Source organism: Homo sapiens, chromosome 8 (assembly GCF_000001405.40).
Source record: "Homo sapiens chromosome 8, GRCh38.p14 Primary Assembly".
Taxonomy (NCBI): Eukaryota; Metazoa; Chordata; class Mammalia; order Primates; family Hominidae; genus Homo; species Homo sapiens.
In genome coordinates this window covers 80,906,217-80,926,384 of record NC_000008.11, presented here as the reverse complement: position 1 = coordinate 80,926,384, position 20,168 = coordinate 80,906,217, and the positions used below count along the sequence as shown (strand labels likewise).

Below are 20,168 nucleotides of genomic sequence, written 5' to 3'. Positions count from 1 at the left end.
CGGAAATGCCGTGAGGAAATTACATACTTTTAATTTGTCAGGTCAGCAAAAGCGGGTGGTTAGTAGAGAAACAATCTTGTGAGCTGGCAATTTGTTTTTCCCTCCCTCCTTATGTGTATTTGTGTGGGGTAAGTCATTTTAAATAATTTCCTCTGACTTGGAAGTTTGGAAACATAATGGAATTCAAAACACAGTGGTTTTTTTTTTTTTTTTTTCTTGGTGGTTGTTGTTCCTCAGAAGTCAGTGAGGGAGGAGAGAGTGGGAGGTGGAGAGATTTAATGTCCCAAACTGATTTAAAAACTGACGTTTAAGAAAATTTCCCTCCCACATAAATAGGATTTTTCATGGTATAGGGCTGTTTGTGGTTCTCTCTCAATGCTCCAGATTTTAAAGCGGTACTCTTTAAGTAACCTCTCTGACCATGTAAATAATGAGACAACAGCAAGAAATCATCTTTGAAAAAGTGATGATTTTACCAGAACAGAGGCTCAAATAATCTCATTGTAATATTTTGAAAGATTGAAAGAAATAAGCTTTATTTACTTTCTTAGACTGAAAAAAAAATCAATTTTTGAAAACAAGAAAAAATAACTGAATGCTTAATAACCAGAGAGCCCTTTGTAACTTTGGTCATGGTGAATAGATTAAATGAACTCTCACCTCATTTGTAAGCAGAACTTAAACTTCTTCTCTCACCTGTTGGGGGGAAGGAGAAAGTGGCTGGTGAAATGAATGCCCCTGGAGTTAGTTTTCCTAAATCAATGGTCCTTGAGATCTTTCCTTAACTTTCAAGCTGCCCTGGACATTCTCTGCTTCCACAGCTGTGATAAGTTACAACTCATTTGTGTGCGTGCGTGCGTGCGTGCGTGTGTGTGTAGAAAGAGGAACTTCTATGAAAGAAACAGTTTGTTTCTGTTGTTTCAAAAAACAGAGTTTTGTTGGTTTGGAGAGATAAGCTCCATCTAATACAAATACAGAGAAAGATGGCGCTGCTGCTAAAACAAACCCTTTAAGCATCTCAGGGTAAATCACAGAAAGCACATTTCCAATGTCCCACTGGAGAGTTTTGCTTCTTAGAGCTATGGCTTCTCATCCGTGTTTCTTTGAATCAATGGTCTTTGCATCATTTGGATCGCTTTCTCAGAACAAAGGGACAAGTTATACCAGGGGGCAGTCAAGTCTCTACTTTTATTTATGAGACCCAAATACATGCTGATCTCCTGTGGTCTCATCTCTATGTTTAAAGAGTACCAGTCCAGCTGCCAAATAGGAATTAAAGAGGATTCGAATCTATACTTCCCTCTCCCTCACGGGTTCTAATCAAGAGCCCTCAAAGCCTCTACCTCCTTCTCTGCCAATTCTCCCCCAACCCATAAGTCTCCGGCAATCCCCAAGAGCCTCTAACTTGTAAAATCCAAAATTCCCTCTTCCAATACAGCCCACATGGCTTCTCTCTGCTTAGTCCCCTGGCCTACCTTCTCTCCCCTTTTTGCGATATAGATCACCATTGCCACTCTAAGCCATTAGCCCCATTCACTCACTTCCTTTCCACCAACCTTTCCATTTCTCTGGCCTACCCTCTTCCATTCTCCCAATTCTGCCTAATAAACTGCCCAGGAACCCAACTGGCAAGGACTCTCATTTAGTAGTTGGAGACCGAGTTGCAGAAGAAAATGTATGGATGAGGCAAGGGCTTGGAATAGAGGAAGCTGGACGCCTTCACCTGTAAACAATTCCACCCACCACACCTGCAAGACAGAAATACAGCTTGTAAACACAGCTGATAACTATTTTCCCCCAGCTTCTAGAGCACCTATCAGGGTTTCTTTAGCCCTAGCCTGCTGCAAATCTGCATCTTATTTCCCTTTTCTAAGGGAGCATTTGCTAGAAAGGAGCTTCTAAGCACCAAGCCTAGGCAAGGAGCAAGGAAGTAGATAGCTGTGAGCTGCAAGGGTCTGTAGCAGCTCATATCTTATTCCCTGTCTCTTCTCCCTTCTATGTTTTGACTCCAAGAATTACAGCTTTTTCCTGTGTGCAATCCATAGACGTCATATCTAGCCTATCATGGCCAGAATATTGGCAGGTGAAGGAGGGTTGAGGGTGACATGAAAATGAGGAGTGTCCCACAGAGCCATTGTGGGTTGCACTACTAGCTATCGGCCCATTATTCTTTCTCTCTGGAAAGTGCTTATCGAGACTACTCTAGAATCAGAGCTGCCGCCAGACAAGGTGGGACTGAATATTACAGCCTCCTCTCCTGAAATCTGTTGTATTGCCCAACAAAAATGTCCATCCACCCTGACTACTCTTTTTAATTGCACCCAGGAATGTTAAAAAAAAAAAAAAAAAAAAAAAAAGAGGAAGGCTCTTGGTGTGAACTCTCTCTCTCAAACTGAAGCTTGGATTACTTCATAAGTTAAAGCTTGAAAAGTCATGCATGCTGTACTAAATTCATTGAATTTCTTCTTACCACAGAACATCAACCTACCATTGACTTCAGGCTGGTTTTGTGTACACTAGTCCATTGCTTAGAATTTTATAAAAAGGTTGCTGTATCTCCCTCTAACTTACTATACACATGTATACACGTTTTCCTTCCACACCACCTCTTCGATGTCCACTACACAATTCCTGCACTCATCCCTCATGTTCTTACCACCCAGGCCTCAGCTTACTTCTTTCCCAGTCCGTCCCTTCAATCCTGACTTTTCTGATCCTCTATCTTCTCCTAGCCTTTATCCCTGCCATTGACCATCATTGACAACAATGATTTGGTGCTTACTATGTAATTTAAGACTTTACCCTATGAGGTATGTGTTACCGTGATCCCTTTTTTTAAATTGTGGCAAAATACACATAACATAAAACTTACTATGTTAACCATTTTTAAAGTGCACGATTCAGTGGCACTTAGTGCATTCACAATATTGCGCAGCTGGGTGTGGTGATTCACGCCCATAATCCCAGCACTTTGGGGAGCTGAGAAGGGAGGATCACTTGAGCCCAGGAGTTTGAGATCAGCCTGGGCAACATAGGGAGACCTCCATCTCTACAAAAAATAAAAAATTAGCTGGGCATGATGGCATGTGCCTGTGGTCCCAACTACTAGGGAGGCTGAGATGAGAGGATGGCTTGCGCCTGGAGGTCAAGGCTGCATGCAGTAAGCTGTAATCATGCCACTACTCCAGACTGGGCAACAGAGCAAGATCCTGTCTTGAAAAACAAAAACACACACACACTTACAATATTGTGCAAGCATCACCACTATCCAGCTCCAGAACATTTTTATCACCACCGCCCCCCCCCCCCACCCCCGGAAAAAACCCTATACCCACTGACACCTACTGACCTCCCACCAGCCACTGGCAATCACTAATCGGCTTTCTATCTCTACCAGTTTTCCTACTTTTGCCGTTTCTTATAAATTCAATTATATAATGTGATTAAATATCGTATGATTTTTGTGTCTGGCTTCTTTCACGTAGCACAATGCTTTCGAGGTTCATCCATGTTGTAACAATGTACAGTATTGCATTCCCTTTTATGGCTGAATAATACTCCAGTGTAAGGATATACTGCATTTTCTTTATTCATTCACAAGTTGATAGATATTTGGGTTGCTTCCACCTTTTAACTATTATAAATAGTGCTGCTTTAAACATTCACATACAAGTTTTCATTTGAACACCTGTTTGCAATTCTTTTGGATATACCCATAAAAGTGATATTACTGGGTCATATTTTAATTCTATATTTAGCTTTTTTTTTTTCCTTTTGAGACAGAGTCTCACTCTCTCACCCAGGCTGGACTGCAGTGGCGCAATCTCGGCTCACTGCGACCTCTGCCTCCTAGGTTCAAGTGATTCTCCTGCCTCAGCTTCCTGCGTAGCTGGGATTACAGGCGCATGCCACCCACCTGGCTAATTTTTGTATTTTTAGTAGAGATAGGGTTTCACCATGTTGGCCAGGCTGGTCTCGAACTCCTGAACTCAGGTGATCCACCCACCTTGGCTTCCCAAAGTGCTGGGATTACAGGCATGAGCCATCGCGCCAGCCTTTATATTTAACTTTTGAGGAACTGCCAAACCTTTCCACAGAGGCTGCATCATCTTACATTCTCACCAGCAATGTATGAGGGTTCCAATTTCTTCACATTCTTGCCAATGCTAGTTATTTTCTCCCCTTTTTTTATAGCCGTCCTAGTGGGTGTGAAGTGGTAGTTCACTGTTCTGTGGTTTGTATTTCCCTGGTGGCTAATGATAAATGCTTGTGCATCTTTCCATGTGCTTTCTGGCTATTTGTATATCTTCTTTGGAGGAATATCTATACAAGTTCTTTGCCATTTTTTAAGAGGTAGGGTATTGCTCTGTTGCCCAGGCTGGAGTGCAGTGGTGCGATCATAGCTCACTGCAGCCTCAACCTCTTGGACTTAAGCCATCCTCCCACCTCAGCCACCCTAGAGTAGCAGGCGCATAGCAGTTCCTCAAAAGCTAAATACAGAGGCTGGGCGTGATGGCTCACGCCTGTAATCCCAATACTTTGGGAGGCCGAGGCGGGTGGATCACCTGAGGTCAGGAGTTCGAGACCAGCCTGACTAACATGGCGAAGCTCCATCTCTACTAAAAATACAAAAATTAGCTGGGCGTGGTGACATGTGCCTGTGATCCCAGCTACTCAGGAGGCTGAGGCAGGAGAATCACTTGAACCCAGTAGGCAGAGGTTGCAGTGAGCCAAGATTGTACCACTGCACTCCAGCCTAGGTGACAGAGTGAGACTCTGTCTCAAAAAAATAAAAGCTAAATATAGAATTAAAATATGATCCAGTAAACCTGGGATTACAGGCACATGCCACTGCACCCAGCTGATTTTTTAATTTTTTGGAGAGATGGGGTCTTACTATATTGCCCAGGCTGGTCTCGAACTCTTGGCCTCCAGCAATCCGCTCACCTTGACCTTCCAAAGTGCTGGGATTACAGGCATAAGCCATTGTACCCAGCTCCTTTGCCAATTTTTAAAATTGAATTGTTTGGTTTTCTATAAACAAAATCTAAGTTTTTAAGAAAAAAATAAAGGTGCAGAGTTCAGGCCACACAGCAAGCAGACAGCAAGCTGAGATTTGAACCCAGGTAGTCTGGCTCTGCTCCTGTTAGCTCCTGCACTAGAACTCCTCATTGTACAAACCCCTACTGCCTGAAAATGTAGACCTAAAAAGAGGACTACATTGGTGTCCATTCATCTCAAAATGTCTGTCTGTGAGGACTGCTTCTCAGTGTTTTAAAAATCGCCACTATGCCTGTAATCCCAGCACTTTGGGAGGCCAAGGTGGGTGGATCACGAAGTCAAGAGATCGAGACCATCCTGGCCAACACTGTGAAACCCCATCTCCACTAAAAATACAAAATTTAGTGGTGGCACATACCTGTAGTCCCATCTACTCAGGAAGCTGAGACAGGAGAATTGCTTGAACTTGGGAGGCAGAGGTTGCAGTGAGCCAAGATCGCGCCACTGCACTCCAGCCTGGCGAAAGAGTGAGACTCCGTCTCAAAAAAAAAAAAAAATTCACCATTACAAATTACAAATTATTCTTTTGGGTTAGGCCAGGCATCTCCTTGATGGAAGGGAGGAAAATGAGATTTACCAAGTCCTTATCACTGCTCTACGGATTTTCATAGATGCTACAATTTTTCATTTCACTCCTATAGCAACCTGTTATTATTACTGTTAGACTGGAGATGAAATGAAGACAGAAAAGTTAACTTTCATGTCCAACCTTGAAAGGCAGCAATCTGAACCAGCACCCCTAGCTATATGATGTATAGATGCTCTGTTCAAAATGCAGATGCTGCTGAAAATCCTGGACTATTTTACTTCTGAGTGAATTGGCCAAGGCCACACATAATCAACCACTTGCTCTGGAGTCAGACTCCTGGTTTCAGACTGAAGCTTCTCATTAGTGATGTGGCCTAGGCAAATTTATTTAACTTCTAAGATTTAGTGTTCCCATTTATAAAACATATGAATACTACGTGAGGCTTCCATGTAAAGACCTTAATAGAGCCTAAATTTAAGAGATGAAGATGACAATGATGACCACAAGGAGGAATGACGGTTCCTAGAGGTACCCTTTGCTTACCCCATGTTACTGCTAAAACCTGTACCTCCTCTGTGCAGGGCACAAAAACATGCAGCTCAGTTCACTTGGAGAAATAACACCAGTAGTTTCCAAGGAGTGTTAGCATTCTTTGAAAATAAAGATCAAAACAGGCAATCTAGTGTCTATGGTTGAAGAAAACCAGTCTCTGACCTCATTCCTAAATATGAGTAAAATGAGAAATCAGGCCCTGATTCAAGTCAGCAAATTTTATAAGAAAATAAAGTGAACGGCTGCAGGTTGGGAGATTAAGCTGAACCATCTTCTACAGAAGAGTTCCCAGCTTTTCATCCCAACTACCCCTCCTGGAGAATGGCTGAGCTGACACAGTATGTGGACTTGCTGGCTTGTTTGTTTGCTTTTTTGTTTGTTTGATCATCACATTTTACACTTCCAAACCAGGGTTTCCTGTGTGGCACTGATTTTCAGGTATACTGGTGTGCACAGGAAAAAAAAAGGCGGGGGGAGGCCAGGAGTGGTAGCTCATGGTTGTATACCCAGCACTTTGGGAGGGTGAGGCAGTAGGATTGCTTGAGCCCAGAAGTTTGAGACCAGCCTGGATAACATAGGGAGACCCCATATCTACAAAAAATAAAAATAAAAAAATTAGCCTGGCATGGTAGCACATACCTGTAGTCCTGGTTACTCAGAGGGCTGAGGTGGGAGAATTTCTTGAGTTTGGGAGGTTGAGGCTGCAGTGAGCCATGACTGTGCCACCACACTCCAGCCTGGGTGACAAGAGTGAGACCCTGTCTCAAAAAAAAAAAAAGAAAAGAAACGAAAAAAGGGGGCTGCAATTGTTAACTTGGCAACCAGAGAGCTGAGTCCATGAAATTTCTTAAGGCTCGCTGGGTCTCCATTTCCCTTAGCTATAAAATGAGTGATCCAATAGATTCCTCACAGAGCTAATGATTTATGATTCTTATTGGTTAAGGACTACTTTGTGGCTTTCTAGAAATATAAATCGACATACTACATTGTATTTTGATGGCTCTTGAAAGTAGGCAGTGAGGGGTGGACATGAGTCAAGCCAGGGCAGAAGAAGTTTGGCATTTGTAGGTGAAGACTAATATACTCAAAATCCTGCCCTAATTTTGGAAGAAAATGCTACAAAATGGTAATTTATTTACTTATAATAGACAGCCAGATTGTCTAGCTATAATAGACAGCCAGATTAGCCTAGTTTGGGAATGTGTTAGCTGTTTAGGTTGTGGCTATGGTTGCTGAGGAAAAAAAGGTCTAAAATGCTTTGGGGGAATCTAATTTGAAAGAAATAAATGGATTACATTTTCCTAATTTAGCAGCCAGTTAACTGTGACTCATCCTCCTCTCTCCGCTCATGTGATCAGGATAGTAAATACGATATTGACAAGAAAATCTAGCCGTCACGTCAGCAGATGCCAGCCCTCCTCAGACTGAAACCACAGTGAAAATGTGCTTGTTTCCTGTTTTCTTCGCATAACCAAATTGCAGGGACTGTGCCAGAGTGTCTATTATTGTGTCCTACGTGAAAAGGGGCTGATTGCTAATTTCTAACTTATGAACTGCAAATATTATGGGGAACACTCATGCCTTCTATTTCCTGCTTTTACACAGGCCTGAGTCAAAATGAATAGAGATAAGTAATAGATGCTTATCCTCCTCCAATTCCTGAGACAATCTGCTCACGTTCTTGAAAATCTCCTCTTTCAAGATTCCTTGTAGCAGCAAGAATATTGAGAAAAATAAGCACAAGTGCATAGCCCAGCTCTGCCTCTTACTATCTGTGTGACTTTCAGGAAGTTACTGACCCTCTTGTTGTCTAGTTTCCTCATATAAAATGAAGAGAAAAATATATTTCTTTCATCACTGTTTAAGCCAAATGGTAATATTTTTAAGGCATTGTAAGCATTGTTATCTGTTGGGTAAATAGTCAAGAGATGGTAACTACTGGCATCACAGCTAACATTCACTGGGATGAGTTGTAACAGGGACAGCAATACAGACATGTGCCCACCAACATAAGGGACAGAAATAAAAAGATAGATACTCACATAGTGAAAAACCACCCCGCTCCAGGCAAGGTGACAAGCAGAGTCTTTTGTTGACTCAAAGGGAAAATGTGGAGTCATTTACTGTGTTTTGAACAAATGGACTCCTTGAGATGTTGATGTTGCTGCATGTGATCAATGAGTTGTAATGTTACACAGGCACCAGGAATACATCTGTCTGTGTTTGGTCCAATATTGAAGCACACCAGGGAGCCTCTCGTAGCATGCTGGTGTGATAGTTAAGCTCTTTGCATTATTTGTCTAATGAGAAAAAGAATGGGTTGTGGAGTTGCAATTTCCAAGAAGCACAAATAGTAAAATTGGAGAAACCTCTCCTCTCTTCCCTTTTCCTTCCTCTCATCTTCATCTCAGCAAACCAAAAATATTTTTCCTGATAGCCTGTTATAAAGCTTGACTTCTGGATACTAATGATTTATGTTCGATCTCAAGAGTTTGAAAACTTCAAGAATCGTCTGATATAATCGTGATCTGAGAGATCAAAATAGATGCCCCTTTATCAACTAAGATGGACTCTGTGGTTAGGGGAATGAAAGTTACCTTTGAGCCAAGGGTTCAGGCCTGGCTGGCATGGTAACTTCCTAAATTCCTACAGCTACAAGAAAAAATTCATACTCTTGCTAAACTTCCTAACAATAGGAGCTATCAGGCAAAGTGTCAGAGCCTTCCTAACTCTGATTTACAACCCAGGTCACTGTAACTCTGATTGGACAGAGGACCAGTCTTACAAACATTCTTTCTTGATAAGCAACTGCAGACCTCAAGCCAATTTCAGCCAGCTTAATAGAGACTGCACACAAACTGTCTGTGTCCTATAGTTCACCTTTTGCTGTAAAGATCCAAATTCCACCTCATTTTAATGCTGAAACCCCACCTCAAAGTGAACGTGGGATGTATATTACATGTATGTTTACCCATCGCACATGCGCTCAACTTCCTTCATAAATATGTATAACTTTATCCCCAAACCTCCTCAATGTGTAGGACTCTATTGCATGATGCTGGACCTGAGAGACATAAAACCCAACTGCCCTTTCCCTCTTTGAAGAGAGAGCACCTTTGCTCCATGCTGAAGACTATCTCTTCACAGTTTGCAAACTGATACCGCCAATAAAGCTCTCCTTTCTACTATTTAGCAATTCTAGGGATCTTTTGGAAGGCAAAATGCAAATACCACTGGAAGAGGTAACACCCAAATCACAGTGTGAAAGGAACTTTATAAAGAAAATCTAATGCAATGCTTTTATTTTTCCAACTTCAATAATAAACCCAAAAGGGCTGAGTAATTTGATTAAAGCTACACGATGAGACGGTGCCAGAGATGGAAGAAGATTCTAATTTTTCTGGTACCCAGTCAAATATTATTTCTTCTGCCCATTCAGAACCATCAGCACCTATGAATATCCTTGGGGAAGAAGAGCAAGATTAGCCATACCACTAGTTTTCAAACTTGGCTTGGACCAGAGATGCTGTTCTCTTATTAGGCACACATATTGTTCCTACAAGACTTTATTTCAAGAGTATTCTGTGATTTAAGATACATGGTTTCATGGCATTCTTGTACAGCCATGAAGATGCCCTGGTCATCAGTCTTTGTGGAAGAAAATAGAATGTGTTGCAACAAAAGGTGGAGAAAAAAATCCAGGCTTCTCAGCTCTGGAGAGGGCAAGCTTAAAAGTTACCATGATGAGAGAGGCCTGCACAGTGAAAGCAGCCTAAGACCCTTGGAAGTTTGGGAGCAGAGGAGAAGCTAAGAGGGAGGGGAATGAGAGACCAAAGGGCCACAAAGATGTTTTTGGCCACATTTACATTGTAAATTTGAGTGTATTTCAGTCTGGATTCTGAATAGTTTGCAACAGAAGTGCACCCTGACTATTTTACATAAAAGGTAAGTGATTGTAAGTATGTCAGGAGCTCAGAGAATCAGCTTCAGGCTTGGAACCCGCAGGCATTAGGGGCAATGTGAGAGCCAGCCCTCAGGACCCACAGCAGGAGTAGGCAGCATTTCTACCCATCTCTAACATCTTTGTGTTGCTTACTTGTGATTCACAGTCCCAGAGGGGAGCACCGACTGGCCAAACAAGGTCACACGCTCACTTCCTGGAGGGGCAGCTTCCCTAGTCAGAGGCAACTATTACCCTCTGCCAAGATAACATTTGGGGGCAAGAGCAATTCTCCAAAAGGAAATAGGTGCCCTGGGCTATGGAGTTTGGATATGGGACAGATGAAAAGCGAAAAGCAGCTGATAGGGACTCTGCCCCCGAGTCTAAGTGAGATTTAAAGCATAGAATATTTGTAGAAAATTGATAAGGTGACCCCACCAAAGGAGTCTCCTTGGAGAGCTCATTAGGAGGAGAGAAAGATCCAGGCTCAATGAGATCTACCAGGGAACAAAGGCACCTCTCAGTCAGTGGACAGGAGGAGGATTCTGGATACAGAATGGGGTTTGTCATGTGGCGTTGAGCCCTGGCCTGGTCCCCATGCACTGGTAGTTGAATCTCATGGACAGTAGAGGGACTGTAAGTAACAAGTGAAAGAGCTTTTTTACATTTTAAAGAACACTGAGACAGCTGTAGACATTAGGGCACCAGGGCACACAGAGCACTGCTGAGGTTAAGATGGGTGTGAGTCCTTCTTCCTCTTGTGCCACAGACCACTGTATGATACACCTTCCTCTGGCAGAGGGGCTGACAGAGCACGAACAGCTCGCAGCAGGAGGAGATGTGTGGGAGCCCACGTGATCCACCCTCAGGGACTAAGACTCTACTTATGAAGGGAGAAACACAAGCCATTGATTTCTAATTATTATCATCCGTGTGACCTCATTAGAATCCTCAGTCTGATGAGGAAAAATTCAATCCACTCTCTAAAGCAAACCCTAAAAAGGGGTGAAAAGGGCAGACTGGCTGGAATATTCAGGACTCCCCTTTCTTACTCGATGAGTAATCCTGGGCAAGTTACAGAATGCCTTTGAGGTTCAGTTTCCTTGATTGTTAAACGGAAACCCTAATTCCATGGGTGATTGTGAAAAGTAAATGGGATGAGAGGTCAAACCCAGCCTAAGCATGTGGTAGTAGTACTCAATACATGGAAGATACATACCTGAATAATAGTCACCATAAAATGCTCATGATTCATTGGATGCTTCCTCTGCATATACACAGTGTAGTTCTAGCTCTGCAATCAGACACCCTGAGTTCAAATCCTGAACCTTCTCCTTAGTCGCTAGCTTTCTGAGTTCTCAGGGTCCACTTCTCTGGTATTACTCTCCTCATGAGATTGTTGAGAAGATTAGCTGAGATAAAGGATGTAAAACACAGAACAATGCCTGTCACGTGTTAGGCTCTTAAGAAATGTGAGCTCTTATTGTTGCTATTATTATCCTCAGTACACTCCTCCCAGTATTTGCCCAATTGGGTTAAAGTAACAAGGAGTGACTGAAGATGCTGACACCAGGGAGGAGTGCGAGGGAAGGGGGAGACAAAAGGAGCTGGGGGAGAGGGATAAGAGAAGAACTTTCCATGTTGATATTTGATCATGGAAGATGGGCTCCCAAGTCACAGTCATGCACCTGTTTTGGTTCCAGCACTTTCTACCTAGAAGAGCTCTATTAATGTGATTTTTTTCTAAATATGACTGATCTTAGGAGGAAAATATTTACTTAGTACTCTCTAAGTGTGAGGACTGCTCAATGAATATTATACTAGATATTCAGGCAGGACTTAAGGAAGGAGAGCCTGATTTTGGGAAATGTGATTCCAGTGCAATGATTAGTTAATGGATTAGAAGTGTGTAGTGCTCAAGGAAAGCTATTTGCCTACTCGAGATACCCCCAAAGTACCTGGCACTGAGCAAAAATCTTGAGAGAGATATATGAGGAAGAAAAACCCCAAAATATGAAAGGGCAAAGAAGCTTACAAATTGCAAGATTACCAAACCCGACCACTTGCATATTTTCAGGCTCTTAGGTAATAAGTGAAGGAGGCATTTCGAATTAGACAAGTTAAAGAAGAGGAGAAAAAGGTTCCAGACAAAAGTTCCAGACAAAGGTAAAATTACTAAACGTATAACAAATTCAAAATGGAGAACACACAAAAAAACATGTCATTTAGGAATACTTGGGTGTCTGTTGTCTTGAACATCTTTGAGATCAGTGAAACAGAGAGATTCAAGGAGACAGCACGGCTCAAAATCAACACATCTCCATGAGCAGACTGATATTCAAAGAGGAATGGAGCAGAAGTCTTTGTTAATCATAATAAAGAATTTGCTGTATTCAAATGAAATAACAGCAAAGTGGAAGTATGCCAGGGCAATACCAGTTTTCCAAGCAGGAATAAAGAGAACACTAGGAAATTACAGAGCCTTCATCTCAATGTCTGTAATTTGCAAAATAATGGAAACAATAGCAGGGTAAGTTTGCCAAATGCATTTACAAACGAGTATCATTCCCTTTAATCAAGCTAGTGATAACCAACAAGGCTAGATAGAGGATTGAGGGTCTATGGATCTTTTTTACTTGATGGGACTATGACACAATTAATAATTACATGTGACTTATTTTGATGTAATGTCCAGATAATTTTACATAGAAGTTACCTCTAATGTGTCTATTATGGAAGAAAGTAAAATAAAAAGTAAAGAAAGAAAAAAGTACTATGTGCTGTCTCCATTATATGGGCTGTGCTACTATATATTCCTTTTTGCTTAAAATCCAACAGTGGCATAGCACTAAAAGGGTATTTAAGAAATCAAATAAACTATGCTCCTAGGATTGGATCAAAAGCACTTAAGACATATGTATTCCACAGGGCAGGCTGTTCTCTGTAGTCTCTCGGAGCCCATCAGCGTGTTTAGCTACTCTTCCATAGAACGTCCTTCCTTATTGAAACTTGGCTGCAATTTAAGCCCATTTCCCATTGTCTAGTCTTTGGTGAAGACATTAAACAGCCAGCCAGCATCCTCCTAATACTGGAAAACCTGCATTCAGTCACCGCTGGCAGAGTCCACAGATTAAAGGATTTTACTATACTCATTTTGCATGGATTTTATATTAATTTATCTAATTTGAATACTTACCCCATGAGCACAAGGTGCTCTGAGCTTTGAGGAATTAGACGATCTGGTTCAAAGTGTGTCAGAACTGGGTTTAATGGTGTGAGAATGGTCAGGACTTCTAGACCTCTGGACTGCTGATAGGCATCTCTGCTAATTTATGATTTCTCAAATCATTTTCCATGCCCAGTTAGTTCCACTTTGCAAGTTTCATTCCTTCCATGTCCATAGCAGATGTCAAAACCAGTGCCTGCCCTTCATTGTTTCTCTCCTTTCTTGATCCTTCACCTTGGAAAATGGCTTTCTTCATACCTGGGCAATTGAGGTCATTGGACTTAAAATTCCTAAGTTTTCTTTTCACACACACACAAACCTTTTTACATCTATTTCCTTTCTTACAATTTCAGATGGAGATGTGCTCTTCCTGTTGTTGCAGATTAATGTCTCCAACCCTGGTCCAGAATCCATCCCTTTCCATCTCTTCACCTCTTCAGCTTTCCTTTCCACAGGCTGCTTCTCAATGGATAAACACGTTCAAGACTCTAACTTCTAAAACCATCCCCCCAAACTCAGTGTCCCCTTCTAGCTACTCACCTTTCTCTCTGCATGGCTTCAAAGACAATTTTCTTAATGGAACAACCTCTACTCGTAACTCAGCTTCTTCACTTCCAACCCTGTAACTGGCCTCTCTTTCCTGACAATGCAGGTAAAGTTACCCTGGTAAAGATTTGCTACAATTTCCTAACTGCCAAATCCTTATATAGCCTCTTTTTAGTCACTCTGTAGCAACCAATACTTCAGACTACTTTCTCTTTGAAACTCTCCTCTCAGAAAAGGGAATGCTTATACACTGTTGGTGGGAGTATAAGTTAGTCCAACCATTGTGGAAAGCAGTGTGGCAATTCCTCAAAGAGCTAAAAACAGAACTGCCATTCGACCCAGCAATCCCATTACTGTGTATATACCCATTGGGTATATAACCATTCTGCAATAAAGACACATGCACACAAGTGTTCACTGCAGCTCTATTCACTATAGCAAAAACATGGAATCAACCTAAATGCCCATCAATGACAGATTGGATAAAGAAAATGTAATACATGTACACCATGGAATACTATGCAGCCATAAAAAATAATAAGATCATGTCTTTTGTGGGAACATGGATGGAGCTGGAGGCCATTATTTTTAGCAAGCTAACACAGGAACAGAAAACCAGATACTGTATGTTCTCGCTTATAAGGGGGAGTTAAATGATGAGAACTCATGGACACAAAGAGGAAACACTGGGGCCTACTTGAGGATGGAGGGCAGGAGGAGGAAGAAGATCAGAAAAAAATAACTATTGGGTACTAAATCTAGTACCTGGGTGACAAAATTGAAAGACTTTCCCCGCGGCCTGGAAGCTGGGCAGAGGGTGAATAACTCCTCCCTTCTCAGGCCCAGTCTCAAGGCTCAAGACCACTTGCACCAGCAGCATGCATCAGCAAGATAGCAGAAGCAGGAAGAGAGCTGGCCGGAAGACACATACCCTCTGAAGACCAAGAGAGAGGCCGTCCGGGTACTGCGTCGCAGTTACATCAGATTGAGACACTTCCTGTTTACAGGAGACTATAAAGCCCCTGCCCCGACACCTTTTGGTGCTGATGCCATTTTAGGCCTCAGCCCGTCTGCACCCAGGCACTCATTAAAATAGTGTGTTGCTTCACGCCGTCTTGTGTTGTCTGTTGTCGCGCTCTCGGGGTTCAAACCCACACAAAAGCCTTGTATCATACTATCTCCCTTTTGCCCTTGTGAGACGCTGCACAACACCAAAGGCACCCTCTTTTCATAGTCCCTTTGAATCATGTATGGCCAAACTTTTGTCTTGGGGCCTCCACCCTTACCCGACTCTGAGCCACTCCGGAATTACCTCCCCTCCTTAGTCCAGACACAGTCTTTCATTTGTGAAGCAGGAAATGAAGCCATGCCCCAACCCCCTCTCCCCCGTCAACATCTCCTTGTCCTCTCAACATAACTGTCTTGCAGGCACAGACGTGTTTATCTGCCAACTCGACCCTCACAAAAACCTACAACCAAAGTGGACAGGCCCCTACACTGTGATACTCAGCAAGCCAACTGCAGCGAGAGTCCAAGGACTCCCCCACTGGATCCATCACACCAGGCTCAAGCTCACCCCCAAGGCTACTCCTTCCTCCAAAACTTTAACAGCGGGCAACACCCTCAGAGTCCCTGTATATAATAACCTAAACAACAACAACAACAACAAAAGATCCTTAAAGGTAGGAGGAAGCCAAAGATGGCAACAGGACAAATGGCCTCCGCCAGAGATCATCAAATATTACAGTCCTGCCACTTGGGCTGAGGATGGTTCATGGGGTTATCGCACTCCCATATATATGCTAAATAGAATAATTAGACTACAGGCAGTTCTAGAGATAATCACTAACCAAACCGCCTCAGCCCTGGAAATGCTCGTGCAACAACAAAACCAAATGAGTACGGCAATTTATCAAAACAGGCTACCACTAGACTACTTATTAGCAGAAGGTGGGGTCTGTGGTAAGTTTAATATCTCCAATTGTTGTCTTCACATAGACGATAACAGAAAAGCAGTACTAGAAATCCCTTCAAACATCAGAAAAGTATCCCATGTTCCAGCCCAAACCTGGAAGGGATGGGACCCAATAAAGCTTCTAGGAGGGTGGTTCTCTAATTTAGGAGGATTTAAAACGCTGGTAGGAACAGTAATCTTCATCATTGGGTTCCTCCTATTTCTCCCCCCTGTATTATCCCACTAATAATCAAAGCTATTAAAAGTCTTGTTGAAACTAGAGTTAACCACCAGACAATCCAGACGATGCTCCTGCTGCAACGACACGATGAATACCAACCCGTCTCTCAAGAATACCCCCAAAATTAAGTTTTTCTTTGTTTCCAAGGTGCGCACGCCAGTCCCCATGTCACACTTGAAGTAGTCATTGAGAAAGTTGTCCCTTTTCCCTTTTTCAATAACCAAATAGGCAGGAATGAAAGACTTTCCCCAGGGCCTGGAAGCTGGGCAGGGGTTGAATAACTCCTCCCTGCCTCAGGCTCAGTCCCAAGGCACAAGGCCATTTGCACCAGCAGCGTGCGTCAGCAAGATAGCAGAAGCAGGAAGAGAGCTGGCTGGAAGACACATACCCCCTGAAGACCTAGAGGGAGGCCGTCCGGGTACCGCATAGCAGTTACACTAGACTGAGACACTTCCCGTTTACACGAGACTATAAAGCCCCTGCCCCATCCTCATTTGGGGCTGACGCCATTTTAGACCTCAGCCCGTCTGCACCCAGGCGCTCATTAAAACAGTGTGTTGCTCCACACTGCCTCGCATTGTCTGTTGGCACGCTCTCGGGGTTCGAACCAATACAAGAGCCTTGCAAAAATAATCTGTACAACAAACCTCTGTGACACAAGTTTACCTATATAACAAACCTGCACATGTACCCCTGAACCTAAAATAAAAGTTAAAAAAAAAAAATCTCTCCTCTCAGTTTTGAAATCCTCACATTCTCCTGGCTTGTAGGTCTTTTCCATCTGTAATCACTTTAATGATCCTAAGGGAGTGAATTCTGTCTTGGCTTCTCCTGTCTTCTTTGCTTAGGAGATTTCCATCTCTCCCTTCATTCTGACACCTAAATTCCAGAAGATTTCATATTTACATTTCTGCCCTGCTTTCTCCGCCTGCTCAATACATGTATACCCAACTTTTTTCTGAAACATCTCCACTTAAATGCTCAACTACCTCCAATTCAAATGATCTGATCTACCTCTCTCTTCTCCTTCTCACTATCCCTCTGCTGTCTGTATTTTCTCTCAATTGGTGGTATCATCATCTACCCAGCTTTCCTGAGGCAGAAACCTGAGATTAATTCTGGACTTTTTCCTACTCTTCACATGACACATCCAGCCAGTCACTGATACCCTCAAATTCTTTCCTAAGCCTTTCTCATGTGTCGCCTCTCCACTTCATCCGCATGCCATGGCCCTCCTTGTCTCATGTCTGGATTACTGTGATAGCTTTCTGACTGCTCTCTCTGCTCTATCCTGGCCTTCCCTTCATCAGTCATCCATGTCCTGGTGGAGTGCTTGCTAAAACCAAAATTGAATCATGAGTCTCTCCTCGCAGCCCTTTGGCATCTGCGTTAAGTCCTAATCAGGGTACAAAAAGCCCCTCACAATCTTACCATTGCTGCCTTCTCCACTTTCTCAGGCACTCACCTCCATCATCCTCCTTTTACCCTCCAGCAACATCATTCTAAACATGCCATTCAGTTTCATCACTATGTGACTTTGTGCCCCAATTCCACTGCCTGAAATGCCTTTCAAAGCCCAGAGTAGGTGTCACCTCTTCCACGAAGACTTCCCAGTGACGGGGTGGGGATGATGGATAATCACTCCCTTCTTTTTCCTGCCTGTGAATCATTCATATACTTAGACTCTTGGCTTATCACTCTGTACTGTTAATATTTGCTGATATATCTGTCTCTCTCTTGGACTCTGAACTCCTTGGGGGTAGAGTGCAGGCATTTATCATTGTATTCCCTTACACTGTGCCTGTAATATGGCAAATGAATTGAGTTAAATTGAACTAAAGACAAGAAATATTCTGCATAGTGTCCAAGGCTGTGGAGGCCTGTTGGTTAACCTACCTGCCTTCTGCATAGGATATGAGCAATTTAAGGTATGCAACTGTTTTTGTTTCTCCAGCACCTATCACAGTGCCTTGTACATAGGAGGCACACAAGTAAATACTTTGGCCAAATAAATGTGTCCTGTCTTAGGGTAATGGACTGCCCCCACCCCGTGGCTGTTTTAAAAGTCTGTGGTTTGGTCACTACATAAGAACATGTAGATCGATAATTTCATATCGGTAAAAAAACATGGCCAGGCGCAGTGGCTCACACCTGTAATCCCAGCACTTTGGGAGGCTGAGGTGGGCGGATCACCTAAGGTCAGGAGTTCGAGGCCAGCCTGACCAACTTGGAGAAACTCCGTCTCTACTAAAAACACAAAATTAGCTGGCCTTGGTGGTGCATGCCTGTAATCTCAGCTACTCGGGATGCTGAGGTAGGAGAGCAGCTTGAACCCGGGAGGCGGAGGTTGCAGTGAGCCGAGATCATGCCATTGCACTCCAGCCTGGGCAACAAGAGCGAAACTCTGTCTCAAAAAACAAACAAAAAACATATGGGGAGTCTAGCCAGCCCCCTTCTCTGGAACTCTAGCAGTGAGTGACCAAATCTACATGGGATGCTCTCGCATCTTCTTCCCCCCAAGTTGTGAGTCCCAGTTGATTTGGCAAGGAATAAACAAGGGTAGGACATGTGTAGGTGGGCACTAAGGTCCTGAGGAGTCTTCTCTGGGCCTCTGAACTGGAAGATCAGGTAAGCTCTAATCAGGGGTGGCAGAGAGAGCAAAGAGTAATGCAGGCATTCGAAAGAGAGAGAAAGAACAGGGCGGGCAGGGAGAGAGACAAAAAGAAGGACAGGGTGAAGAAGAAGGAGGAAGAGAGAGAAACAGGAGACAGAGAAGAGATGGGGGACAGAGAAAGAGAGAAAAAATTATGGAGAAAGAGAGGCTCTCTGGGGCCAGATTCCAGGCTTTCCTGAGACATAGCTGTGCTTTCAGACTTCAGGTTTCATGACCTACCCTGTGTCCCGCTGAAGAATTCCCTCCTACTTTGGCTCCTATCTATAGAGCAGTCAGAGTGGTTTTTTAAAAAGTAAAATCTGGTAATGACCATACTGGTCACCTTTTAGTCTCTCCAACCTGCCATGTCTCGTGGCTACAGGACCTTGGCGTGTGATGTCTCCTTCACCTAGAAGAGCGGTACCCACCAGCACTCCAGCTCCAACAGCTCTCTTGTAACACACAGTGGTAACTTCACAATTACTGATATGATCCATTCATTGTCTGTCTGCTCAAAAATGTCTTCTTTGTAGTTACCAGCAATGTCGCTCAAATGCTTAGCACAGTGCCAAACACACAGCATACATATAATGGTTTGTTGAAGGAAGAAAGAAATACAATATTAAAGGTGCTGATTATGTCGTGGTTTGAGACTGCCTTGGCTCATCTTATTATTTTAGTTCTCCCATCAGTAATTTGTTCTTTTGGGTTAATGAGCATCTCCTGCTCCAGGCATGTCATTATTCTCATCCAAGGCTGGGTCTAGCCCTCCTGGTGGTCTCTGTGGTACTCAGAACACTGGGTACAACAGGCTTTGGGACATGAGGAGAAAGATGGGAAGGGGAGAGGCACCAAACCAAGCCTTCTGGAAAGAAAGAAAGAAAAGAGGAAGGAAGGAAGGGAGGGAGGGAGGGAGGGAGGGAGGGATTAGGGAGGGAGAAAACTATAAAACACTATAATAAATTTACAATTACATAATTAAATAAGCACATGCTTCCCCAAGGAAATTTAAATCCCCTTTCCATCGGCATGCCAAAAAAGCGGTGATTTCCTTCTCTTCCTGCCTCACACAGAAATAGAGTGTGACTTGTTTTATTCATGGTCTTCTTGGAATTCTAGCCCAACAAAGCATCTACTCCCTTCTCCTAGTCCACCAGCGGGTCCCTGGAAGAGCAGAGCCTGCTGCTTCTGCGAAGCCCTCATATTGCTCCATCTGAAAGTGAGAAAGAATAAGGAAGAGGGGAAAACAAGGTGTACTTTCCATGCCTTCCTTTAATTTGGCTCTATGAATTGGCTCAGCATACCTGAGTCCCCATCTCCCTGTCCCTCACAAAACGAGATTTGTGACTTTTGGGGAATTTTTGCCAAAGTAGTAAAAATTCTTACATTACTAAATCTCTTTTCATCTCAGTACAAAAAGATAGTATGTCCAAAGAAAACACTAAAATACCCAAGTGCCTCCCACT

At 43.1% G+C, this 20,168-nt stretch overlaps 1 long non-coding RNA gene across 1 annotated transcript; it reads right to left on the bottom strand.

Moving 5' to 3' along the window:
- LOC107986894 (uncharacterized) lies at positions 11,178–17,616 on the bottom strand. The gene is made up of 3 exons (XR_001745723.2): positions 17,515–17,616; positions 13,279–13,566; positions 11,178–11,494 (listed from the first exon to the last, which is right to left on the bottom strand). It is a non-coding gene; the product is annotated as an uncharacterized LOC107986894 (long non-coding RNA).
- Positions 17,617–20,168: the final 2,552 nt, after the last annotated feature.